Source organism: Homo sapiens, chromosome 11 (genome assembly GCF_000001405.40).
Source record: "Homo sapiens chromosome 11, GRCh38.p14 Primary Assembly".
NCBI lineage: Eukaryota > Metazoa > Chordata > Mammalia > Primates > Hominidae > Homo > Homo sapiens.
Genome location: NC_000011.10, coordinates 48,083,839 through 48,111,413, shown reverse-complemented (window position 1 = coordinate 48,111,413; position 27,575 = coordinate 48,083,839). Strand labels below are relative to the sequence as shown.

Sequence of the window (27,575 nt, the reverse complement as noted above, 5' to 3'; positions counted from 1 at the left end):
CAGGAAAAAAAAAGTTCCCAAATTTTGGGGAGAAACAAAAACCATGGTTTTTTTTTTTTTTCCTAAAAGGTACATTTTTTAAAAAACTACCAACTACTATTATTTTTAATTTTTTTTTTTTTTTTTTTTTTTTGAGATGGAGTTTCACTCTTGTTGCCCAGGCTGGAGTGCAATGGAGTGATCTCGGCTCACTGCAGCCTCCACCTCTCAGGCTCAAGCGATTCTCCTGCCTCAGCCTCCCAAGTAGCTGGGATTACAGGTGCATGCCACCACACCTGGCTAATTTTTTTGGTATTTTTAGTACAGATGGTGTTTCACCATGTTGGCCAAGCTGTTCTCGAACTCCTGAATTCAGGTGATCCACCTGCCTCAGCCTCCCAAAGTGCTGGGATTACAGGCATGAGCCACCAGGCCCGGCCTTCAATTCTTATAGAAATGTTTTATGACCAAAAAATTAGTAAGGACATAATCCAGGGATGGATGGTGCTTTCAACTGAATATATTTAAGCTTCCTTAAAAAACTTCTAGTCATATCCTTATTTTTCTCATTTTATTACCAGGGAATGAACCAGCACTGTCAGCAGTTGGGACTCAGCCCTGTGCATGAAAGCAAAACATGCGGGAGTCCAGGTCTCATTTTCCAAAGGTTATGACGATCTTCCACCCCATTCTTTAAATGTAGCAATGTAGCAACAAAAGGGCAATGTAGCAACACAAGAAAATACTTAAAGGATAACAGCACATAAACAATATACAAATAATGTATTACAATTTCAACTAAGTTAAATCGCCCACAGATGAGGCTAGAAAAAAATTACAGAAAATATAAATTTTCATCATGATTGCACAATTAATTAAAATTTTTTCTTTCATTTGTTGTTTCCACCCTCACTCCTACTTCTAAAGAAAAATTGGGGCCGGGCGTGGTGGCTCGCGCCTGTAATCCCAGCGCTTTGGGAGGCCAAGGCGGGCGGATCACCTGAGGTCAGGAGTTCAAGACCAACATGGGGAAGCCCCGTCTCTACTAAAAATACAAAAAATTAGCCGGACATGGTGGCACGTGCCTGTAATCCCAGCTACTTGCTAGGCTGAGGCAGGAGAATCACTTGAACCCGGGAGGCGGAGGTTGCAGTGAGCCGAGATGGCACCACTGCACTCCAGCCTGGGCTACAGAGCGAGGCTCCAACTCAAAAAAAAAGAAAAGAAAAAGAAAAAGAAAAATTGGAAACCGAGCAGGTTTTAATAAATTAGCATTTCACATTGCTGTTAATGTTGCTGTGTGTCCATTAGGGGGCAGTAGCGAACAACACAAGAATAGAGAGGAAAAGGGTACTCACTGCCACCTGCGCACAGGATCTGAAACAGAAAAAGAAAACGGAAGTCAGCAGATTCATTCAGCCATGGAAAATGCAAATCAGAAATAAAGCAGTTGAGGATTTAATAATGGGGGTGGGGTGGTAAGAAGCACATTAAGCAAAGGTCTGCTGGTCAGGGTTAGGCCGTCTTGGGACATTAAACACAGGGAATCATTGCAACCTCGGGGTCAATTACAAAGGATTAACTGGGTTATGTGGGGGCTGGCGGCTGCTGACTCCCAGTGCCCAGTGTTTCTCCCCAGACACATCCCCCCACCTCCAGCCCTCTCCCCGGAGCAACTCCCCAGGTCAGCACCTCCCTCCACCCACTGTGCGATGAGCTGAAGCAGAAGGACACAGAAGCAGAGACCAGATTGTCAGGGCCAAAAAAAGGGGGTTGGGTGGGGGGGATACCAAGCCCAGCACACCCCTTCCCCAGACCCATTTCCCAGTCCTGACAGCACAGTGGAAACCAGAAATCCACTGTGTTTGGGATTTTCATTGTACAAAAATTCATCTTCTTCTTTCCATCAGTAGGTGGCAGTAAAAATTTTTAATCACATGTCAAGCAGCTTTGGGAAGAATTAATGCTTGACACACAAGAGGCCTTAAAGGTTTAGCTGACAGTGTCAGCTGGGGAGGGGAGCAGCCCTCAAGGATATTCATTGTGATCCATAATTGTTTCCCTATACTTTAAAAATCTAAAGTGATTCAAGGTTGTACACTCTATTGTTTCACAAACACACCTTTTTGGTGAATAAGATTTTTTTTTTTAAGTAGGATCGTCACGAAGAATAAAATAATCAAAAAGGACCCTGGTGGAAAAAACCGTCCTCCTACTTTCCATGACACTTAGAATAAAATTCAAACTCAGCCACAGCCCACTAGCCCCTCTGGTCTCACTGCCCCCTCACATTCTCGAAACTGATTCTCCCCTAGAGCCTTTACATATTTATTCCCTCCCACAAACACACTCTGCCCAGACCTTTTCATGGCCTGCCCAAAACGCCACCTCCTCAGCAAGTCCTTCTCCGAGCAGCCATGGAAACCAACACCCCTCACTCTCTGTCCATCACTGACTCCTCCAACCACACTGTGTGCTCCATGAGAACAGAGATCTTGTCTGTGCCCCATGCCTAGAATGGTGGACCCAGTAGGCACTCAATAAACGGCACAGGAAGGAAAGAACGAGCCCAGAGGGGGAAAGTCTTGCCCCCAGGTCCTCCAATTCTCAAACTTCCCATTCCCACCTTCCACCCTACCATCAACTCCTTCGCGCCTCAGGCCTACCCTTTTTCAGCTCATCTTCCTCCTCCAGCCCCTGCCCTTTAATCTAGGCTGAGCCTCAATCCACAGTCTAGGATGGATCATAGGAGAGAGGCAGAAAAAAGAGAAGTCAATAGCTAGGCAAGTCGCACAGGGCAGCAAACATTTTTTTGCCCAGTAAGGGGAAAGATTAAAGTAAAAGCACTGTGGGAGGCTATACTTGCAAACGCATTCTGAGGATAAAAAGGAACTCTAACTTACTAAGCACCTACTATGTAACAGACACTGTGCTGGGCTTTCTACATCCCTTGTCTCAGCACAGAACCATGGAGTGATGGCTAAGAGCTGAGACCTGGACTCAGACCGCCTGAAGGAAGTCGTTCAGTGCCACTGCTTCTGGCCATGTAACTGCGGGCAGGTAGCTTGCTTAATTAACCTCTCTGTCCCTCCCTGTCTGTATCTGCCAACAGGATGATCTTTGTACCTGCCTTGCTTTGGCGAGAATTAAGTTAAATGATCTATTTGAGCTGCTGTTGTCATCATCATCATCCTTACATCTTCACTGCAACCCTGTGAGGTATTTTTATCCCCATTTTACAGGTAACACCACCGAGGCTCAGATCCTCCTGATAGAAACCAATGTGCAATCTGAAGCTCATACTCTCCCCAGCATTGTTTTCCAAAGTATTTTTTGAATAACTTTTTTCTTAAGAGACAAGGTCTCACTCTGTCACAGGCTGGAGTGCAGTGGTGCAATCACAGCTCACTGCATCCTTGATCCCACATGCTCAAGCGATCCTCTCACCTAAGCCTCCCAAGTAGCTGGGACTACAGGCATGCACCACCATGCCCAGCTAATTTTTTTATTTCTGTATGGGGACAGCATCTCACTTTGTTGCCCAGATTGGTCAGAAGCTCCTGGGCTCAAGCAATCCTCCCACCTTGGCTTCCCAAAGTGCTGGGATTACAGGCATGAGCCACCATGCCCAGCTTTTTTCTCCAAGTATTTAAATAGACCAACAACCCAGTTGCAGAGGGCACGGAGGCCCAGAGACAGTAAGCAGCTTGTTGAAGGACACACAGCCAGAGAGGAGGCACAAGAACCAGAACCCAGATCTTGACCTCAACCACTCTCCCTTACATCTTCACAGCAAAGTCACTGGTACAGATGACCCAAAGCTTCTGCTGGCCCCCATAGCTGGACAAAAGGAGCAAACACTAAGAAAAGAGATCAAGCTCACGACTCAGCAGTGACAGACACGGGAAGAATGCAGTACGGCCCACAGTTCTGGCCAAAGACTTCCCTATATACCCCAGTTGTGTGGCAGAAAACCCGTTAGTCACCCAGATGTGCCCAGGAACACCCAATGCTACCCAGGAGGTGGAAGCTTCTCTGTCCCCTTTCCTGAGGGGAAACCCCTCGCCGGTGAGCCTTCCAGCCTTGTTCATTGCTAGAACTGCCCTAGAGATGGTTCTAGTTTCACATCCTCCTTTCTTTGTGCTGATAAGTCGAACTCTTTCTTTTCTCTTTTTTTTTTTCCTTGCCAGCAGGAAAAACCACTGCCAGTCCCAACTGTGGTTCCAGTCACAAGGATCCTCCTCCAGGCCTCAGAGAAAAAGAAATGGTTAACACGGCTTTCTGCACCATCCCAATTCAGCCAAACCTGCAGCTATGACATCAGTGGTCCACTCTGAACACTAGATTCTTCCCACTCAAAAACTAAGGCCGGGAGCAGTGGCTCACACTTGTAATCCCAGCACTTTGTGAGGCCAAGGCAGGTGGATCACCTGAGGTCAGGAGTTCCAGACCAGCCTGGCCAACATGGTGAAACCCCAACTCTACTAAAAATACAAAAATTAGCCAGGTGTGGTTGCATGCACCTGTAATCCCAGCACTCTGGGAGGCTGAGGCAGGAGAATTGCTTGAACTGGGGAGACGGAGGTTGCAGTGAGCTGAGATCGCGCCACTGCACTCCAGCCTGGGCAACAGAGTGAGACTCTGTCTTAAAAAAAAAAAAAAAAAAAAAAAGAAAGAAAGAAAGAAAAGAAAAGAAGAAAAAAAAGAAACTAAGTCATAAGGATCTTACCAGCTGCATTTACACCTAAAACTTCTAAAATTTTCCCCAACTCCTCTACATGAAAATCCTACATGTACATACACATCAAAACAGACCCCCTACGTATTCTCCTCTTCCCCTCTCTCTGACATGACTGTGTCATTAAACCTGTCTCCCAGTCTGCAAACCAGAATAACTTCTGGTTCTTCCCTCTGCTTCACTCTTTGTGGGTCACATAAAGATGTTTCCTTGCCCAGCACACCTTGACTTCCCCGCTTCTGTACTGTGCATATTGTAAACCAAGTCTTCATAACCTCCAGCCCTAAATCACAGAAACAGCCTCATCCTAGGGCTGAGAAACACTCAGGCCATTTCCATTTTCATTTCTTGAAGCTCCAGGTGCACACATGTACACACAAAATTAGGAAGTACCAGAACAGGGTTGTATCTACGGCCGTGTATTTTTGGTTTTGCTTCTGTTAGAGCAACGCCCTGACTCGACCTATAACCCCTCATTTGGAATATAAGAGGACTTAAACGGGAGCCTTTTGTGAACACCAGTGGTGACAGCCAGGCCCTACTCCTTCATCCATATACCTGGTTGCCTCTCCCTTCAATCCACAGTAAAAAAATAAATAGAACTGCGAATTTTTCTTTCTGAAACATGCGGTATTAGCCAATATCCTAGCTGGAGCAGATGACACACTCAATGAGGGTGAGTGAGGAGAGTTTTAAAGAGTCTGTTTTCAAGGGTGAGGGTGGGGTTAAGGAAAACCAGTAAGGGATGGGCAAGAATCCTGGGGTAGCAGCAGCGAGGAAGGGCAAGGAGAGAGGCCAAGGCTACCTCCCCTCATCTCCAGCTAGGGTCTCTCGCCAGACTGGCCCACTGGAAGCTGGAGACCAAGGGCACCCACTGGTGTAGAACATAAAGGTCAGCCTCCTCCTAGTGGGCACAGCAGGGTAGAGACAGGCGGGCAGAGTCTCAGGAGCACACAGAGATCTGCGGCACAGAGCTCCCAACACATCACCACTGAAAGCCCGTCAGCCTGACAGGTGTGGACTAGGGTGGTTAAAAGGTTAGTTCAACTTCCACTGTCACTCATGAGCTCTGGCACTTGAGGGTCTCGTGGAGCCATTGTTTTCATCAGTTGTAAAATGACGCAGGGGCATTTGCAATACAGACCCCATATCTGAGTTGTCCTGAGACTCGAACAACACAAGGTTCCTTAATTCCCAGCCTAACAGCCTTCTTCTTGCCTCACTGAACCTCCAAAGCCACCACCCTTCAATTCACTTGGTGACTTCCTGTGACTGCTCCAGCCCCTAGGAGCTCTCCAGGCTCTGAGACCCTCTCCGTCCATGCTGTTGTCCATGCTGCTAATTGTGGCCCTGCAGGGCCCCAGGCCCCAGGTTAGGTGCCAAAGATGCAGAGGGTGCTTAAGGTGGTCCTGACTCCCCAAGAGCTCACAGGCAAGAAAAGCAGTGAAAGATCTGGGTGCGCCAGGACCTGGTGAGCTTGGGGGATGGGGAGGGAGGGGCTTGAGGGATGGGGAGGGAGAGGCTTGGGGGTGCTTCAGGGTAATATGCAGGGGTAGAATGGGAGAAAACAACATAGTGACCCTGTGTGAGAATCTAATGCTGTTCCATTCTACTTATTATAATATTAACTAAACCCTTTGCTACCGTCCAGTCGCAAGTCAGATGTTGTATTTATCATCTCATTCAAGCCTTACAATAATCCCAGCAGGGAGGAACTGTGTTTATCCCCATTTTCCAGATGTAGACACCGAGCCTTGGAAAAGTTAAGGTCCTGACCGAGCATCTTACAGCCCCAGGTCAAGATTCAGCCCAAGGTCAATCGGACCCTGAAGTCCTTGAACTTAACCACCCCCAGGGAGCACTAAGCTGGTTCAACCCTGGGCAGGTCTCAACTGAGACCATGAAACCCAAAGGCAGTTCCAGGGCTGCAGGTCACAAACCCCTGCCTGTCCTGGGCCTTGGGAACAGCCCCCATCAACCCATTTGAATTGACTAAATTAAGGCAGCTTGTACAAGTTTCTCAAAAGGAGCAGTGTTTGGGGATAAATTCACAGGGCAGCTTGGATTTCAGCAAGTGACAAAGCTCTCCAGGTTTTCTGTTATCCACGTTGGGCTTTTAAGGATGGGTAATAAGTGACTGAATAGCACAATGGGTAACAATAGACTCTTTATCCTTCTAAAGCCAAGCCCACACACCATATGACAATAGTTATTTTTACCCACTGACGTAATTAACCAAAATGTGAACCGCTTCAAGCAATGTTTAAAATCAAATAGCAGTTTATGGGATTTGGAGCAGCACAGATTTCAACTCTGAAAGGCCATCATTCTTCCTGCTCTCCCATTTATCTGCCTTGTGAAGATTATCCAACAACTCCCTATAAAACTGGCTCCTCTAAGGTAAATCATTAAAATGACAGGCTGGGTGGGCCCTCCCACTGAACCCAGAAGCCAGACAAGGAACACCCAAAAGCTTCCCTGAAGGCAGGTGTGGCACTGTGGGGTGGCCTATCTCCCATCCAAAAGGCAGAGACAAGCAGGCCAGCAGGCAGCACAGTGAACAGTGCCCCAAGCACAAGGCATCAGGCACAGCAAGATGAGAACAGGCCGGCTTCCCTGCCTCATCTGCAAATAAACTCTCTGAACTTCATGCTGTCATCAGGGACTGTGGGGAAGAGGCAGAATAATTCACAATTCCAGGTCCCAAAAATGCCATGGAAGGCTTCGGTGGAAGGAACGAGAACCAACCACCCTGCAAAGATCCCCGCTGGCTCATCTTCCGCCTTAGGGAGCTGGAGGCACGATGGCCTCCTCCAAGAACACACAGAAAAAAGTACCCAGAAGGGCTATTTTGGTGAGGCTGTGTGGACTTTGAGACGCACAGCCGAGGGTGAACTTGGAAATCCCAGGCCAGAAGTTTCCATTGGGTATTTTTAGCAATGGAACTATTTTCTCAAAAAGACTCTTAGGAGGAACTCCATACATACGGGTATAGAGTTCCACATTTCATACATATCTGTGTATGTATACACCGTGTATACACCTGGATAAAAGCAGCTGTTTCAAATTACCTTGTTTTTTACTTTGAACATAATTGATGTATAATCAAATTAAGAAGCAGATAGTTTCCAGCGAATTTTAAAATTTGATGTGATTCACTATTTGGGCAAATGTGTTGGTTGGTTTTTTTGGTTTGTTTTGTTTTTTAATTTGTTTTTGTTTTGTTTTTTGTTTTTTTGAGACAGGATCTCACTCTGTGGCCCAGGCCAGAGTACAATGGCACAATCATAGCTCACTGCAGCCTTAAACTCCTGGGCTCAAGCGATCCCCCAGCCTCAGCCTTCCGAGTAGTTCAAACTACACATGTGTCCCACTATACCCAGCTAATATTTTTGTTTTTTGTAGAAATGGGGTCTCCCTATACTTCCCTGGCTGGTCTCAAACTCCTGGCCTGAAGGTTTCCTCCACCTCAGGTTTCCAAAGTGTGGGGCAGGCATGAGCCACCACACTCCATCCTGAGCAACTGCTCTCATTACAATTTCAAATATACTCAAATTTGAGAGTACAGGCTGCTTTTAATAAAACTGAAAGCAAATGCTTATGGAACCCCTGACACACCTCAAGGAGCACACTTTAAAAATGTGTGATCTACCTACCCTTTGACTTTATGGAGGAAGAAAGTAAGTCCCAGAATGGTCTAGCAACTTGTCCCAGAATGGTCTAGCAACTCAACCCAGAACACCCAGTACCAAGACTAAAATACAAATCCTGGACTCCTCCACAGGGCTAATCTCTTCATCTGAAGAGAGGGTCAGAGTTGGCAATCCCCAAGTCCCTATCTGAACCCTTCCTCCACCTTGTATGATAAATCTGGGGGTCCTAAATTGAGGCTCCCCTGTCTGAATCTAGCCCACTGCCATGCATTGCTTGACCTGTGATGTTTCTTAAAATCTTAAGTATTTAAAAATTAGGGAGATAGAAGCCAGGTGCAGTGGCTCACACTTGTAATCCCAGCACTTTTAGAGGCTGAGGCAGGTGGATCACCTGAGTTCAAGGGAGTTCAAGACCAGCCTGGCCTGTAACATGGTGAAACCCCGTCTCTACTGAAAAAAATATATATACAAAAATTAGCTGGGCATGGTGGCCTGTAATCCTAGCTACTCGGGAGGCTGACGCAGGAGAATCGCTTGAACCTGGGAGGCAGAGGTTGCAGTGAGCCAAGATCGCACCACTGTCCTCCAGCCTGGGCAACAAGAGCAAAACTCTGTCTCAAAAAAAAAAATTAGGGAGATAGCATTTTTTAAATCTTGTTTTTTGGCTTCTCAGAAATACATCTGGCTTTCTCATTTGGCCACATTAAAGACATGAATTGGATCTGAGTGTCAGCCTCGCTTCCCGGGGGGAAGTGCTTGGAGTTCACAGCCATTCCCTAGTAATGTCACCCCAACGCTGAGGACAAATGGCAGTTGCCAAGCAACACTGCCCCCACGATGTTGATTTTCTCTATCAAACATGAGCATGCGAAAGACTGAGAGGCAGTATGCTTTTCCATCTTTTTGTCCATTCCCTTTATTTATGTCCCCAAATGTCCCTGAAGACATTGGTGTTTGTAACCCTTGATCAAAATGCACCCTGCAACCAAAGTCCACGGGTTGAAATGATTAACAAACTGTTTACTTTCCAAGTGTCTCTCTTAGGAGAGGATTTCTGGCCCATGTCAGGTGTGAATAATGTGCACAATATGAATATAAAATGTACCATTCTGCCTGCCACTACCTTTTCTCCTCACTCATGAACCAGCCCCTCACACTGCCACCATGACCCCCAAAAAAGAGCAGAGAGTTTCAATTCTTCAGTTGAAGACTTCTGGCTGCATGCACTTAAATCTGAATAATGAAACCACTCCATTAATCCTACCAGTTCTCTCCTGCGCCGCTCGTCCACCTTAGAATACGGATAAAAACAGCTAACAGGCACCATTTACCAAATGCTTGCTGTGTTCAGGGCTAGCTCCCCACGGAATCCTCCCTTCCCCACTGCCCAGCTGGGTGTATATTCAGTCCATGCCTTCCTGGCTCCCCAGGCTCCACATCCCTCCCAGAGGAGGAAACCAGCTTCCAAGTTCCAGGTTCACAAACTGCCTCTGACTGACCACAAAATGCTAATCGGGTCTCTGTCTACACTCTGGCCAGAAAGCCAAGGGTTAGCCCTATCACAGGCTCACAAGGAAGATCAGCAGTGAGGTCAACAGTCCCAGATGCTTCTCACGGAACTATCTGCAGTCACCTGGGTCCTTCCAAGGCTTTGCAAACAGAAGTTCCCACAGTCAAACGACCACCCCACCGAGTCCCACCACACTACAGAGGTGAGGAGGACAGAGACAGGGTGGGGCAGAGAAGCTGCGGGACTTGAAGTCAGGCCTGAGTTTGAAGCCTGGCACCACCACCTATTAGCAGGATGTCCCCGGACCCGTGACCTAACTTCTTGCATTTTTTCACCTGTCAGTTACCATCCGCTCTGCAAGCTTGGTGAGGGGATTAGCAGCACACAGTAGGGGCTTTAGAAACAGCAGCAAATGTCATGGACCCCAAAAGGGGGAGTCACCTGGCACCGTCAGCCACTGAGTGCAGGAACTTTGAGGACAGCGGGATCCTACCAGCTACAGGAACCTGAGAAAGCCCCTTACCCACTCTCAGCAATGAGCAATGACAGGAGGGAGCTGAAGCAAAGGAGGGTAAAATGCTGATCAGTACTGAACCTGAGACATGGGCACTTGGAAGTCTATTTGATCTTTTTTTTTTTTTTTTTCTTTTTGAGACAGAGTTTTGCTCTTGTTGCCTAGGCTGTAGTGCAATGGCGCAATCTCGGCTCACTGCAACCTCCACCTCCCAGGTTCAAACAATTCTCCTGCCTCAGCCTCCCAAATAGCTGGGATTATAGGCATGTGCCACTACACCCAGCTAATTTTTTGTATTTAGTAGAGACAGGGTTTCACCATGTTGGCTAGGCTGGTCTCAAACTCCTGACCTCCGGTGATCCACCCGCCTTGGCCTCCCAAAGTGCTGGGACCACACCCAGCCCATTTGATCATTTTCATAACTAAGAGAAAATGGCAAGGGGTGCTTGGGATATCTCTGTGAAACTTCCTCTACATTTTGCTGTGAACCTAAAACTGCTCTAAAAATAGTCTTTTTAAATATATATACAGTATTTACCTCATAAGACTGTTGTGACAAGTATTAAATTATATAATCTACGTGAAGCACTTAGCATACGAGGGGCACACAATAAATAGTAGCTATTATTGTCATCACTACCACTAGCACAGCCTTGGGAAGGAGAGTTCGAGCAGTGAAACACGGGAGAGGTGAGCTGCCTCACTAGGATAAAGCAGGGCCAGAAGGTATCTCTGCAACACAGAAGCCTCAACAGCAGAGAGGGGCAAGTCAGTGTCTTGGATTCTGCTGCATGAAAGGAGGAACTTGGGCTGAAGTTCTCAGAACAAGAAGCTACATTCTTGTCTCCTTCTGTCCATCATGGCCAGAGCTGCACTGAGCCCCCAAGGCAGCCACCCCACCTCCACCCAAGGAGCTCAATGCCCTCCAAAAAGCCTCCATCACCCCCACAACACACACCTGCCAGTGGGGTCTGCTGAGTTTAGGTGGGAGCCCAGGACCCAGGCCCCCTCTTCCCCACGTGCCAAGAAAGTCCAAGGGTGGGCTCAGACATCTCAGGTGGTGGTGACAGGTCAGCTCTTAGACAGTCTCCCGCCTACAACAGTCCCTTTCAATTAAAAGTTAGGGCATTATTCAACTTCAATCCAGACAGCACAGGAAACTGCCGCTGTTCTGCAATCCTCTTTCAATGATAACCTAAATACAACCATCAGCAAAGGCAAAACAAATTCAAGGCAAACCCATCCAGTCATCCTAAGACTTTTGATAAAATGGCACCTTGGCAAATCACATTGGGCAGGTACTCTCAAGCCAGAAATGCCACAAAGCAGACACTTTTATTTGACATCCATGCAATGGAAAAAGAACTCTGAGCATCAGATAGGAGATCACTGGAGAGCTGGTGCACCAGAGCCTACCCACAATCAGAAGAGAGTGACGGGAGGAGACAGCTGATTTTCAACATCTCATCAAGCCTCATGAATGCCCTAAATCAGGGGTCAGCAAACGTCTTCTGTAATAGGCCAGACAGTAAACATTTTAGGCCTGGCAGGCTTTAAACTGTGCCCTTGTACTGCGAAACCAGCCATCGATGATATGTAAACTAACGACTGTAGCTGAGTTCCAACAGAACTTTACTTACAAGCGTTAAATGTATATTTTACATAATTTTCATGTGTCATGAAACATTATTCTTTGTAGATTTTGTTTTCTCCACCCATTTAAAAATGTGGAAACTATTCTTGGCTCTTGGGCCACCCAAAAACAAGCAGTGGCTGCATTTGGCCCATGGGCTATAGTTTGCTGACCCTTCCCCTGAATCATCCATTTACCCTGGACAGAGCCACAGGGATGGACCCGCAGCAGCTCAGAGCAGGGACCATGTGGTCTAGTCCTGATTCTATATCCTGGTTCTGATGATTACTAGCTTGAGATCTGAGCTAAATTTCGATCTTCCCCTCTGAAAGGAAGGATTATGGCAGGACTCTCCTCAAGCCCTTGAGAGAATTAAGCGAAATAACATCAGGCAGGAGGCAGATGTTCGAGAGAAGATAACTCTGTTATTACTATCATTGTTTCTAGATTTCAATCAACCCAATTTAAGAACACAGGGTCTCAATCCTTGTCTGAATTTCCAATTGGAGATTTTTGGTGGATAAGACATGGGAAGGAACAAATGAATACAGGTTATTTAAGAGATAAAGGCCGGGCGCGGTGGCTCACGCCTGTAATCCCAGCACTTTGGGAGGCCGAGACGGGCGGATCACGAGGTCAGGAGATCGGGACCATCCTGGCTAACACGGTGAAACCCCGTCTCTACTAAAAATACAAAAATTAGCCGGGCATGGTGGCGCGTGCCTGTAGTCCCAGCTACACAGGAGGCTGAGGCAGGAGAATGGCGTGAACCCGGGAGGCGGAGCTTGCAGTGAGTCGAGATCGCGCCACTGCACTCCAGCCTGGGCGACAGAGCGAAACTCCGTCTCAAAAAAAAAAAAAAAAAAAAAGAGATAAAATGATTTGAAATGTGGGTCCACTGGCAACAGAGGATGGTGCCTGGTGGTCAAGGCTGTGGGACCACAGCTGCCTTCTCAAAGCAGGCCCTGTGGTGTCCAGGACTTATGCAGCCTGGCCCACTCTGTGAGCCTCGGCATAAGCCTTGCATTTCCATAGATTTACCTTATCCCGCTAGTTACAGTAGAAACTGTTGAGGTAAGAGAAGTCACACACTTCCTACCCACCAGAGCCTAGCTCGTGGCCTTCCCCATTAAATGCTGATTCAGCACCCCCAGGGAACAGGCTAGTGAGTGGAGTTTTAATGGGATTTTCAGGGCCTGGAACAGAGCTGGCCTGGCCTCTTGTGGGTCAGACTGAATAGGCATGCGCGGACACCAAAGCCTCAAGGGCAAGCAGTGGAACTGTGTGATCAGTCATAAAGGGGACAAGATCCTAGGGATTGTCTATACCGACATCCTCTGTTTGGAGTTGAGGAAAAAGGCCCAGAAAGGTAAAGTGACTTATCCAGAACACCTGGATCTGAAACTCATTCATTCATCCCCTTCACTGACTGTGTCCCCTAAGTCAGGCCCTTTGAGCTCTCTAGGGACGGAGTGAAAGCCCCCTAGTCTTGGGTTGCTTAAAGGCCAGCAAAACCAAGAAATAAATAAACAAAACAAAAAAAAATTCAGGCCGGGTGCGGTGGCTCATGCCTGTAATCCTAGCACTTTGGGGGGCTGAGGCTGGGGATTGCCTGAGCTCAGGAGTTTGAGACTAGCCTGGGGCAACACGGTGAAACCCCGTCTCTACTAAAATACAAAAACTTAGCCGGGCTTGGCAGTGTATACCTGTAGTCCCAGCTACTCGGGAGGCTGAGGCAGGAGAATTGCTTGAACCCGGGAGGCGGAGGTTGCAGTGAGCTGAGATCACGCCACTACACTCCAGCCCATGCAACAAAGTGAGACTCCATCTCAAAAAAAAAAAAAATTTTCTTCAGGTGGAACCATTTAATCTGGCAAGAACAACTTTTCACATCTTACCATTTTATGTCTCCACTTGATCTTGTTCTGAACTTTTCAACATACACACTATCTTAAAAAACAACAGATGTAAATCAATGCTTATGTAAAGGAAAGGGTGAGTCACAAAAGCAGGACTCACATTTCAGGTACATTTTTCCATGTATCAACATACCTCAAATTCCCTGAATGAGCCATGTTGTCATCCCCTACCTTGGTTCATGCTGGTCCTACTACCTAGAAAGTGAGAGCTTCCTCACTCCCTCCTTTGCCCACTTAATTCCTGCTTATCCTTCTATGAGGACGAGCATAAACTCCCCTCCCCCAGCACAGCCAGAGCCTTCCTCAGTGGGTCCACGCAGCACTCACCTCTTACCACCAGGTGCTGGAATGTCTGTGGACCGGCCTGAGACTCGATACCCCATGCCTAGCACTTGAACTGACTGGCAGGGGGTCTGGCTGAATGGGGAACAGGAGGGTGGGCTGAAGGATGAGAGCAGGGACAAGGTCTGGGTGTGAAAATTAAATTTGATTTGGACAGCCGGAAGGAACCCAGAAGAGCACTCAAGCCAAGAAGAAGGTGAGAAAAAATTTCAATGGCAAGAAATCACAAAGGAGTAGTTCTCACAGGCTAGGAGGTAGCAGAACCATCCAGGGAACTTGGTAAAAACAAAGGCCCAGCACTATTCAACTTCAATCTGGGCCTCTGTTCTTATCAGCTCTCGAGGTGACTCAAAACCCTCTCCAAAGTTTGAGAACTACTGGCTTCAGGTACTTTAGAGAGACAATGTGGAAGGATGATGCAGCCCAGGGTCTGCTCTGATCTGAGGCAGCCACAGCCACAAGCCCCCAGGAAGGGCCTCAACAGCTCTGGGGGGTGAACTGAGGGGTGGTTTGGTTTGAGGAAAACTCAATCCAGAATAAATTGAAGACGTTCTTTAATGGTCTTTAAACAAACAAGGTTGTGGGGGTGGGGGCGGGCGTGGGAAACTGTTGGGCTAAAACCAGGATAGTTTTGGCGGAGAAAGTGGCCAAAGGGAGTGTCTCCCTCCGATGCCCTGTAAACTTCTGATAGCTTCTTCCAGTTCTCCCTTCAACAAATCCAGCAATCCAACAAATCTTAAAAACAATCCCATCGGCCTTCGCAGGAATTTGGGCTAAGAGTGATTTTCCTCACTAAGAACTCCATACGGTTTTCATACCAAGGTCAGGAAGAACAATCCTCTGCCCCACCCCCAGCGCCTGGCAGATCGTTTTCCTGCCTGCTGACCAGCATCATCTGTCCACACAGCACACGGTGGGTCACACTGCAGAGCCGTGCTTTGCTTTGTGTGCTTTCAGGAAAGAAAATCGACACTTAAAAGGCACAATGGGTGCAGACAAATTCTGTAAACGGCAATGAACTGTGATCAACTGAGTAAGTCAGCAATTTACAGAAAAAGAACAATGCTGTGGGAGTCAGGGCTGAGTTTGAGTCTCTGCCCCATAACCCACTAGCTGAATGCCATGGGTGAGCCACCAATTCTCCTGAAGTGTCAGTTTCCACATATTCATGGGGGAGCAATGTGGCCAACCACGGCTGTGGCAGGAAAGAACTTCTGCAAGCTCTTGCACAAAATAGATGCTTGAGGCAGGGCATGGTGGCTCATGCCTATAATCCCAGCACTTTCAGAGGCCGAGGTGGGTGGATCACCTGAGGTCAGGAGTTCAAGACCAGCCTGGCCAACATGGCAAAACCCTGTCTCTACTAAAAATACAAAAATTAGCTGGGTGTGGTGGCGTGCACCTGCAATCCCAGCTACGAGGGAGGCTGAGGCAGGAGAAATCACTTGAACCTGGGAGGTGGAGGTTGCAGTGAGCTGAGATCATGCCACTGCACTCCAGCCTGGGTGACAGAGCAAAAACTCCATCTCAAAAAAAAAAAAAAAAAGTATATGTTTGATAAACATTATAGCTGGCTATACCCATAAGGTGCACTCGTCTTCAGAAGTAGCAACATTTGGCTTTGAACAAAAGATATTCTCCCTCTCCTCCTACCCTTCTCTCTCTCTCTCCCTCTCAAACACACAATGGTATTTTACCCAGTTGAAGATCATTATTAGCTATTAACAATAACTACCACATTGTACAAATAAATTGCATTACAGAAAGAGTTGCTCTCTTCCAAAGTTTGCATTAACAAAGAAAAAGCAAAAATTCTCAAAGTCTCATAAGTCCAGTCCATCTTTCTTTGCCATCTAATAAAACACTTTTTATTTCCTTTCATGGGCTTAAACTTCACTAAAAGGCAAATTGTCTGAGGGCACGCTGCTGAGACAACAGGACTCTGTGTGTGCTCAAATAATCCCCTGTTCCAGTTGACTGTTTTCTATTTTTCTGAATAGACACTGGACAGAATTGGGAATCAGAAACGGTCCTGTGATCTCTCTAATTGCTTCCACAGGCAAGTCCAAAATGGGTAATTTTTTTAAAAGACACAACTGACTCAAACTCCAAATGCTTCTCAAGGAGCCTCAGCCTTCTCTCCGACCATGGCCCGGCTCCCTTGGCCAGCCCTCACCCCCTCAGGGCTGGGCAAAGATTCACATGGCAGAAAGGGCTGCCCCTCCAAAGACCCATCACTACCCAGAACTTAGAAGACAGGGGCCAGGAAGTCGGAGAAAACATGTTCTCGGGTATCCATCCTCTTGCTACCCTGAAGTTGACCCAAAGTCTAATCCAAAATCTAACGTTTGAGAGCCTCTCTGTTACCCAGAACTTCTGCGCCCCAAACACATCCTTAAAGGCCACATACAGACTTCAAATACACACACCCATCGCAGTAAACACAGCAGAAAAGCCCACCAAATCTCCAATTTGACACATCCCAATAGAGATCAGAGTCTAAGTCCCTCCAGCATTTTACTGGGGTTCTCCAAATCCTTGTATTAGATCTACAAGAAAATAGGTCCAGTTAATCAAAAGGTTGGGCCAGCAAGCCCATGCAGAGGTTAATGTCTTATCAGGAAAGAGTGCAAGGTTCAAATTCCCCACAGGCTTGACATCAGACAAACAACACTTCATTTCGGACATCAACCCCTGTCAAAGTTATTTCCCCACTCGGTTAATTTATGCCACAAAGATCTCATTATGGTACTTGGTTAGCTTGACAAAATGACTTTATTGCCATTCGCTAAAAAAAGATAATAAGAAGCTCCAGCAAGGTGGTTTTGGCAAGGTTGCTTAGTGGCACTCTCTTTGGGACCTAACAATGTAAGAACTTTCTTCTTCTTACATGTTTTAGCAAATTAAATATCAGGGGAACATTGTACTTGGTCCTTGCTGTTCAATTTCCCTACTTGCACTGTGGCTTCTTGACATCCTGCCAAGTTTCAGACACTGAAATATGAATGGGATTAATAAGGATTAAGAAAGAGTAAATGCTATTAACAGCTCTTCTATTGCATGCATCTATCTTACTCAGGAGCCAATGACCCACCAGGGAAAAAGAAGGGCTGGGAGGGAACTGAGCTCATTCAACACCTGCTCACAGATGGCAAGGTCAGCAGTTAATGCTGGGCTTTCTCCAACCACAATCATGTGTCTGTCAAAGGTCTGCACCACTCATCTTGACACTTAATCAAAGAACACTTCATCGAGGATCGTCAGAGCCGCAGGAGCCATTAGCAACCAGTGGCTTCCCTTTTTGTCTTTTTCTTTTTCTTTTTTTTTTTTTTAGGGCAGCAAAATCTTCTTGAGAAATTACATTTTATAAGAAACCCAAATAAACTCGGATAAAATAGTTAACATTATTAGTAAGCCTCAATTTGAAAATTCCAAATTCACAACATTTGCTTATTATAGAGTATCAATCTATTTTATAAAGGCAATTTGAGCAAACAAAAAATACATAAAATCGCTTGTTACATTTCCTTCATTTCCGGGTTTCATTTAGTTGTACACGATCAATAAAAGTCTGACTCATAGAGACGTGTAGTTGCAAATGGTAAAAGTTTAACAATTCATCTCCATTAAATAGACAGCAGAGGTTTTCTTCCTGAAGATGTCATAAAAACAAGTTAAGCTGGCAATAAAAGCAGCACATGGATGGTCACCAATGCTAAAAGTTTTAAATAATAAAAAGAAATGCTTTAAAAATTGAACCAAACATGTAATGAAATTCCTGAAACATATCACAAAATATTTGATTGAGAAAGTTTACTCACTTACACTCTCATCTTAGACCACTCTACTAAATATTTTTAGAAGGATAAACATTTCCCTCATTCTATGAAGCCAATATAACTTTGATACCAGGACAGACAAGGACAAAATGTGAATGAAAAGTTACAGAGCAATCACATACATGATCACTGAGGCAAAAATCTCAAACAAAATATTAGTGAAAACGAATCCAGCTATGTATAAAAACGAGAGTAACACACTGAGTTGATTTATACCAGGAATACACGAGTAGTTTAGAAATAGAAAATATAGGCCATCAGATTTTTTTAAATACATAAAGTCATCTCAGTGAATGCAGAAAAGCATTTGATAATATTCAACGCTCATATATGAAAAGCTATTTGCAAACTCAGACTGGAAAAGAGCTTCCTTAACTCAACACGGCAATTTGCCCATGTTCATTGCGGCACTATTCACAATAGCCAAGACATGGAAACAAGCCAAGTGCCCATCAGAGCCTGGAGGACATTATGCTGAGTGAAATATGCTAAACACATAAAGACAAACACTGCACAACTTCACTTATAGGTGGAATATTTTCAAAAAGTCAAACTCAAGCCCGGCGCAGTAGTTCACGCCTGTAATCCCAGCACTTTGGGAGGCTGAGGTGGGTGGATCACCTGAGGTCAGGAGTTTGAGACCAGCCTAGCCAACATGGTGAAACCCTGTCTCTACTAAAAATACAAAAATTAGCCAGGTGTGGTAGCGAGTGCCTATAATCCCAGCTCCTTGGGAGGCTGAAGCAAGAGAATATCTTGAGCCCAAGAGGCAGAAGTTGCAGTGAGCCAAGATCTCGCCACTGCACTCCAGCCTGGGCAACAGAGCAAGACTCTGTCTCAAAAAAAAAGAAAAAAGACACTGAATTTTTCAGCAGTAAGTAAGATGCTACCCTTATCAGTTTGGTAACTACCTTGCTATCCCACAGCAGTAGCTAGAAGCACCTACCTGCATTTCTTTTTTTCTTTTTCTTTTTTTTTTTTTTTTTTTTTTTGAGATGAAATCTTGCTCTGTGGCCCAGGCTGGAGTGCAGTGGCGCGATGTCGGCTCACTGCAACCCCCGCCTCCCAGGTTCAAGCAATTCTTTTGCCTCAGCCTACTGAGTAGCTGGGATTACAGGCATGCACCACCATCCCTGGCTAATTTTTGTATTTTTGTAGAGTTGGGGTTTCACTATATTGCCCAGGCTGGTCTCGAACTCCTGAGCTCAAGTAATCTGCCTGCCTTGGCCTCCCAAAATGCTGGGATTACAGGCATGAGCCACCGCACCCAGCCACCTACCTGCATTTCTAAACAGCACCCAGGGGACTCCAGAAATAACAATTCATGTTGCCAAAGCATGTAACCTACCAGCTTCACAGGGGAGGCTTACCTCTACCCCACAGACCAGCAATGAAAGCTTCAGCCCAGTCCTATCCTCAGCAAACTCTGGGCCCCAGAAAACAGGTTTGGATCGTTCTTATGGTTGGGGAGGGGACACCATCCTTTGAAATAACAGTCCTGCATAAAGAGCAAGGCCTCTTGGGAGGTATTTCCAAAAAGCTGACTTCATTCTTGTTGGTTCACTTAGTCTTGTCTTAAAGCAATTCTGAGGAAACAGGTGACTTTTCGAATTTTTTCAATCACCTGAAGGAACAAAAGGTCAAATCCAGAGCAGAAAGGGAAAAGAAAAGTTGCATAAACTACATGTTTTTCCCCTAGAGAAGGCCAAGTCAAGAGCTGCCTTTAAGCAGACAGTAATTGTAAGATCAGCTGGGTAGGTGACTTCTCCAGCAGTCACCAAACACCCCTAACTAAACAAGAGCTATCCTGCCCTAAGGTTCTAAAGAATTTTACTTTGACCTTTTAAATATACACACACACTTTCACACACTTAACGCCTAACAGGGAAATAACAAGAAAATGCATATCTGGGATAGTAATGATATTAGGGCAATAGCAAGCTTCTACTGAGCTCTTCCCCTAGGCCAGGAAACATTCCAACACCTTAAGTAATCCTAATGACATTCCTGTGATATAAGGGATGCTCTCAGCTCCATTTTACAAGAGGGAAAATTGAGATGCAAACATAGGAAGGGAATCACCCAAGACCAGACAACTCGCCTGCAGCTCCAAGGCACAGAGGCTCCTAACATTGCCCCGCCTTCCTCCTCGGGGCACAACTGTTCCCTAAAAGCCCACACACCCTCCGCCTTTCATCAAGGAGGGGTTTGCTGGATTGCAGATTGAAGAACCCCTCCTAGGCAAACAGGTAAATGCCCTCATCTGAAGTCTTCGGAATGTGGTATGACAAACAGCCTTGGGTTTGAGAAGCACCACCACCTCCCCATACTCATCCTTTGGAGTGGGGCAGGCTGGGTGCCTTTCCCACAGTGCTTGACATCATGAGGCAGATGCACCACCAGGACAAGGACTGGGCCTGAATGACTCACAGTGGAGAGTGCTGGCCACAGGACCAGGCGGGCAGGACCAGGGGACGGACAGCTCCAGGGCACAGGCACCTGAGAGAACCAAAGATGGAAAAGCCAGTGGCCCATGCTCTTCTCAGGAAAGGGAAAGGTACACTCCTGGCCTCTCGAATTTAAGCGAATTGGGAAAATGTTCATCATAAGGTATTTATGACATTCTGACCGTTTCAAACAAACCAGCCTTCTCTGACACTGAGGTATGCTGGGTCTAAAAAACAGCAGCATTCCAGGGCAGAAAACAGCCTGCGAAGCCCACGTGTACCTACTGCTAGTCTGGGAGGACAACAGAGGTGCCATCCTGCTGCACGGATCTGTCTCTGAAGAGGACCACTGTGCTCGGCTCTGACCAGAAGATGACATCGAAGCCTTCTCCTTAGGGGTGGCTTCAGGAGACACGTGAAAACCAGCCACCGGGCTCTGTCAGATGCCACGCCCTTCAAGACCAGTGTGAGCTGGGGGTCTGGGAGGGAGAAACCACCTCCTACTTCCTACTTCCTCCCTGAAGCCTGAGTAGCAAGTGTTTGGAGGAGACAAAAGAGGGTACCAGAAAGAAGGGAAGGATGCAGGGCGCCTGGGGCTGTGAGCCTCATTCATCAGCTAAGGATGCACAGGCAGGTGCTGTGCTGGGTAGGGGACAAGTGCTGTGTCTGCCCTCGAGGGCTGCTCCCAGGCCAGCACTGAATCACAGCAGACTGGGAATTAAAGAGAGTTTCCTTGGTTGGGGGGAGGGAGGGGACTGAACACCAGCTTTGTTTAAAAATGTGTTTTCCAACATTTTCCTGAATAATAACAACCAATACCTACTATGAGATGACCATCCGGCAGCAGTGCTCTAAGGATCTTACATGGGATATTTCATTAAATCCTTATGACAGCACTTTGGGGTATATGATAATTACCCCCATTTTACAGGTGGGGAAATGAAGGCACTGCACTTCAATGGCTGGCTCGAGGCTCTAGCAGCCAGATATAGCAGAGCCAGGCCTGGAACAGGGCAGTCTGGCTCAGGAGCCCACTCTACCTTACACCCTCCATAAAAATTCCTTCCATTTACTGTGAACAGCTCCAGGTGCCAAGCACCTTGCTAAGCATTTTACATTTATGACACAGCAGCCCTTCAAATGAAATCTATCAACTCCACTTAAAAATTTATATACGGACATTATGACAACTACATTTTTTAACACATTTTTTAAAAGACTAAAAAGACACACAACCATTAACAATGGGCTCCTCAGGTGATAGGTACAGGCAATATTTATTTTTTGTTGTGTGTGGGTTTTTTTTGTTTTTTTTTTTTTTTTTGAGATGGAGTCTCGCTCCGTTGCCCAGGCTAGAGTACAGTGGCACAATATCGGCTCACTGTAACCTCTGCCTCCCGGGTTCAAGCAATTTTCCTGCCTCAGCCTCCTGAGTAGCTGGAATCACAGGCCTGCACCATTATGCCTGGATAGTTTTCGTATTTTTAGTTGAGATGGGCTTCACCATGTTCCCCGGGCTAGTCTCAAACTCTTGGTCTCAAGTGATCTGCCCACCTTGGCCTCCCAAAGTTCTGGGATTATAGGCGTGAGCCACCGCTCCTGGTTAATGTTTTTGTAACATGTTTCTGGGCTTGTCATGATTTCCACACAGGACATAGCTTCCTTTTACAATTTCTTTTTAAAATGGGGTTTTATTTCACGTCATTTAACAACAACATGTTGGTATGAATAAATAACCAAAGCAAAAATGTTCAAAGTGGTTCTTAAAGACAACAGGCAGCCCTCCTGGCGCACAGCACGCTAACCGGGGATGAAAAATGGGAGTAGCACCGAAATTAGGAGATAGAAGTGTGTTACCTGAATAAATAATAGATGATGAGCTCTTCACAGAGTCACTAAAACAAAGCATGTGAGCTGACTTGGCAGAAGCCAATACAACATGCGTTTCCTTAATGTGGCACAGCAGGGTGGAGAGTGCATTTGCTAACATCACCCTGAGCCAAGCACAACAAAGCCTCAGTAGAAAAACCAAGGAGGGGGAGAAGGAGACAGCCTTGTGCACAAACAGACCTGTCCTGGGTACCTAGTTCATCCGTCCTGCAGAACATAAGAGCCATAAGAAGCTCTTATGTTACTCAAGTAACATGGAGAGTAACATGGAAAGACCTCAGGACCTGGCCAGAGTCAGGAATCCCCAGGTGATGACCTCTATAGAGGGCCCATAGAAGGCCCACTGGACACCAAGAGCAAAGGTGGGCATTTTTCACACATCACTGTGCCCAAGTCTCAAGGACAATCCTGTGGCAGCAAGCCAGGAGCGTTTGGAGCTGTTTGCCAAGTTACCACGCTTCCTTCTTCTGCAAACATATGCAGCCACTAAAACTGTCACCAGGAGAGTCCGGTACAGCACAGCTTAGGCCAGGGCCACTCCATTCCCACAAGATAATTTATGGCAGTTATTACAAGCCTTCAAGAGGGAACATGGGATGTTCTTTGGTCTTGATATCTGCCAGGATGTCATGAGAATGTCTGCATGCTTGCTACTCTGTGATATCTCTGTTAAAAGGCAGCCTCCCAGTGCTCTAGATGAGAAGAAAACGTTGTAAAGGAATGTTATTGTTGTCAATCATCTTGGGTCTCCAAGAAGGGGACATGTCATCTCAAGAAAGGGAAGAGTGACCAAGCGTGTACACAGCATTTGACCCTGGGCAAAACCCTTTTTATCTCATCCTCCAAAGACCTGTGCTGGGACTGGAGACAGAAATGCTGCTAGAGGGGTTTCAAAGCTCTTCCTAGATCTTTGAACTCATTCAACAGCTAAAGAGAGAGATCACCAAGAGAGAGCTGAGAAACCAACGCAAGCAACAGCTGATATTACTTAGGATTGTAATCATACATGCAGGGACCTTGCTGAAAACAAAGCCCTTCTGGCTGATGCTGCTCACTGACCTTTCACAAGGATCTATTTATTAACAGGTGAGGGGAAGGCAGGGAGAAGAAGGAAGGGGAAATTTGTCAGTTTTTCCTAATCCAAATCATCTTATTAAATCCTCCCGTGAACCCCTTGGGTAGGTATCCCACTTTCACAGGTAAGAAATCAGCTCATAAGTAACAGAGGTAGAATCTGAACACAGGTGTGTTCAAATGGATGACTCAAAACCAGTGCTCATGACCATCGTCTATGGGTTTCTAGCCCTGATTTGCTTCAGATTTGCTGTGTGACCTTAGGCAACTCACATGTCTTCTCTGAGCCTGAAGTTCTTTATGAACTAATTCCTAAGATCCCTTCCAGCCCTGTCACTTCTTGGTTTTATCTACCTGGGTTTGGGATTTTACAGACCAATGCAGTTTCAAACATTACACACACCAAAATGTGAAGGGTTGACAGAGGGCCACAACTTTGTACTATGCTAAATAAAAAGTACTTACCACCTACTAACACTTTTGTCTCACAAAAGGAAATATTTTCCTCCAAAAACTATAGGAAGGACATATTCTCATTGAAGGATGTTTATTTAGCTTCATTTAGCTTCACGAGAATCTCAGCACTTTATCCTTTATCTCTTTCCTTTATCTCTTTTTAACAAGGACCGCTGAAAACTTCACGGGCTGTGTTCCATCTGCACACCAGTGTTTGGGAACCACTGCCACATGCATTTCCAACCATACTAATCTTAGGACATAAAGTTTACTGCTGTTCCTGGCACACAGGAGAACCAAAGCATTTTAGTTTTAGAATAAGCTTCTGTACTGTGAATTATACAAGTCAACTATCAAGATTGCTAAAGAGATATAACACTATCATAATGATACATTGTGTTATTATTATTATTATTACTATTGAGTCAAAGTGCTCAGTGCTTGACATGCATTAGTTCATTTAATTCTACCAATACAACTTTTTTGTCCATTTTCTATCAAAGTATGCATTTCCTCAGGTGCACAATGATATGGAAATACTTTGGACTAGAAAAAAAACAGACTGAACATATTTCATGGCTCAAAGTGGGGAAATACACACACAGACATTTTTTAAAGCACTGCTGCTCTGAGAAGAGCACCCGGAAGTTATAGAAGAGCAACTAAAACACACACACACACAGTGTCTTCCTTGAAGAATAACTGGTCAGTCGAGAGACGCAGGTGGCCTGAGGCCAATGACCTCAGTGGCTCAATAAATCCCAGGAAAAGATCCCATGGAAGGTCACTGCTGTCATCCTGGGCTAGGGAGGAAGGAAACAAAGCTTCAGGCTACAGGTTGGAGACAGTCTGGGACCCAGGATGAATGTAACTGAGCCTTCACCTGTCGCTACCTCAGTTTACCCATCTGCAAGATGCAGTGGTCCCCACATATAAATGTCCTTTCTGGGCTGGGCACGGTGGCTCACGCCTGTAATCCCAACACTTTGGGAGGCCGAAGCGAGTGGATCACCTGAGGCCAGGAGTTCCAGACCAGCCTGGTCAACATGGTGAAACCCCGTCTCTACTAAAACTACAAAAATCAACCAGGCATGGTGGTGTGTGCCTATAATCCCAGCTACTCGGGAAGCTGAGGCAGGAGAATCGCTGAACCGGGAGGCAGAGGTTGCAATGAGCCGAGATCATGCCACTGCACTCCAGCCTGGGCGACAGAGACTCCGTCTCAAAAAAAAAATTTTTTTTAAATATAATAAATGTCCTTTTTGCCTGCCTCACAGGCAACCCTTGTTCAGCTTTACATGTCACCTTTTCTCTAAAATCTTCTTTCACTGTTTCAATTCTCACCAATCTCTTTCAGAGGAGTGAACAGAGCTAACAAGTGGAGGTTCCAAGAATTAAACATGAAAATGTTAGAGATGAAGGAGACTCAACCCATTTTCTTACCACCCCACCCCCAGACCCCTGGGCCAGTTTTTAACACATGAGCAAACGAAGGAGCACAGAGACAGCAACTTGCCCAAAGCCCCGCCGCAGCTGGAAAGGCAAACCTCTCATTCATACAGAAACCACCTGACATAGGGCTACTGAATAAACACTAATCATTCGCTTAGAAAAGAAGCCTATAGGATCCACAGAATGGCTTCAATCCCTTCCATAGTCCACAGGGCTCTGTCTTGACCAGCACATCTTAAACTTTTTGGTCTCCTTTATGCTCTTAAAATTATTGAGGACCCCAAAGAGCTTTTGCTTATAATAAATCTGTTGTTGGGCATGGTGGCTCATGCCCGCAATCCCAGCCCGCAATCCCAGCACTTTGGGAGGCTGAGACGGGTGGATCACCTGAGGTCAGGAGTTCGAGACCAGCCTGGCCAACATGGTGAAACCCCGTCTCTACTAAAAATACAAAAATTAGCCAAGTGTGGTGGCGGGTGCCTGTAATCCCAGCTACTCAGGAGGCTGAGGCAGGAGAATCCTTTGAACCCGGGAGGCGGAGGTTGCAGTGAGCCAAGATTGTACCATTGCACTCCAGCCTGGGTGGCTGGGTGACACAGTGAAACTCCGTTTCAAAAAAATAAAAAATAAAAATAAATAAATCTGTCACCTGTTAACATAAATGACATTGTATGGAAAATGATGTTTCCAATACAAAAAAAAAAAAAAGTGAGAGAGATAGCATTATTTTAGATATTTGCAAATCTCTTTAATGTCTGCTTAGTAAGAAACAGCTGGATTCTCATATTTGCTTCTGCGTTCACTCTGTTACAATAATGTAAAGAAATTCTGGACTCACACAAAAACATGCAGTTGAGAAAGGGAGTATTTTCTCAGCCTTTTCAGTAGTTGTGGATATTTTTCTTTGCTGTTACACCAAAACTCAACATGTGGATGGCAGTTATTAAAAACTTCTCTGCATCGTGGAATGTGAAACTGTGTCGGTGAACTTTTCATATTCTGTTACATGAAAATCCATTGGTCTTTGCATCCACTGCACTTTGGGTTTTTTGCTGTTGTTCTTTTTTTAATTACAAATAATTGTACAATTTATAATGTATCCACTGCACTTTGAATGGCTCTGTGAACAAACATGAACCTGAAAAAGGCAATCCCCTCAAGATGGACCCCAAGCAGCAAAGTGTACCTAAATTTAAAATACAGCCAAGTGGCCATTTGCTGACTAGAGGTCACACTACGTACTCCAAGTTTCACAAAACCCCACACCCTTTTGACTTGGGACTTTCAGAGCTCACATGAACCAAGCAGTCAGAGCTCGTCTGCTTCAGCCAATCAGAGCTCAGCTGTATCAACCAATCAGGGCTCAGCTGTATCACCAATCAGAACTCAGCTGTGTCAGCCAATCAGAACTAAGCAAGTTTGACCCGCCCCCTTCATTTGCATAATCAAACCTGATTGGGGACATGGGCCAGAAATTTTGCTATAAAAACCTAGATTCTGCCATGCCTGTAATCCCAGCACTTTGGGAGGCTGAGGCGGGTAGATCACTTGAGGTCAGGAGTTCGAGACAAGCCTGGCCAGCATGGTAAAACCCCGTCTCTGCTAAAAATACAAAAATTAGTAGGGTGTGTGGGCGTGGTGGCAAGTGCCTGTAGTCCCAGCTACTCGGGATGCTGAAGCAGGAGAATCGCTTGAACCCGGAGGCAGAGGTTGCAATAAGCCAAGATCACGCCACTCCACTGCACTCCAGCCTGGGAAACAGAGCAAGACTCCATCTCAAAATTTAAAAAACAAAACAACAACAACAACAAAAAACTAGATTCTCTCTTTGCTCTCTGGAATGCACCTTCATTTTACACCAACGCAGCATCTCCCAGTTTGCGATCTGTTCACTAGAATAAACTCTCTTTCCTCCAAATTCTTCTCTAGAAAACTTTTGTTCATAGCTCTTTTTACCCTGCATGGCTTTGTGGCCTTATGCATTGGTTATTTGGAAAATATCAGTTCACTGAGATTTGCATACATGAGGGAATGAGAGTGAAAGGACAAATAGTTTACTATTATTATAAAAATACTTTGACCTCACAGACCTCACAGATCCCTAAAAGGATCTCAGGAATCCCCAAGAG

The 27,575-nt window shown here is 45.9% G+C and overlaps 1 protein-coding gene and 1 non-coding gene across 5 annotated transcripts in view, besides 2 other annotated features; both read right to left on the bottom strand.

Annotated features, from left to right (window-relative positions):
• The window catches only part of PTPRJ (protein tyrosine phosphatase receptor type J), a 190,281-nt gene that overhangs the window by 59,426 nt on the left and 103,280 nt on the right, over positions 1 to 27,575 (bottom strand). For all 4 annotated transcript variants that reach the window (NM_002843.4, XM_017018085.2, XM_047427374.1 and 1 more), the window contains exon 2: positions 1,338 to 1,356. In NM_002843.4, coding sequence (NP_002834.3) covers positions 1,338 to 1,356 — 19 coding nt within the window. The remainder of the gene's footprint in view (positions 1 to 1,337; positions 1,357 to 27,575) is intronic.
• Positions 13,288 to 13,788: an enhancer, noted in NCBI's record as "H3K27ac hESC enhancer chr11:48119178-48119678 (GRCh37/hg19 assembly coordinates)". NCBI's record gives its function as "activates a minimal SCP1, AML or CMV promoter by ChIP-STARR-seq in naive H9 embryonic stem cells {active_cell/tissue: H9 hESC(naive)}" and the evidence as "EXISTENCE:reporter gene assay evidence [ECO:0000049][PMID:30033119]".
• MIR3161 (microRNA 3161) lies at positions 14,556 to 14,632 on the bottom strand. The gene has a single exon (NR_036119.1). It is a non-coding gene; the product is annotated as a microRNA 3161 (primary transcript).
• Positions 20,002 to 20,813: an enhancer, noted in NCBI's record as "H3K4me1 hESC enhancer chr11:48112153-48112964 (GRCh37/hg19 assembly coordinates)". NCBI's record gives its function as "activates a minimal SCP1, AML or CMV promoter by ChIP-STARR-seq in primed H9 embryonic stem cells {active_cell/tissue: H9 hESC(primed)}" and the evidence as "EXISTENCE:reporter gene assay evidence [ECO:0000049][PMID:30033119]".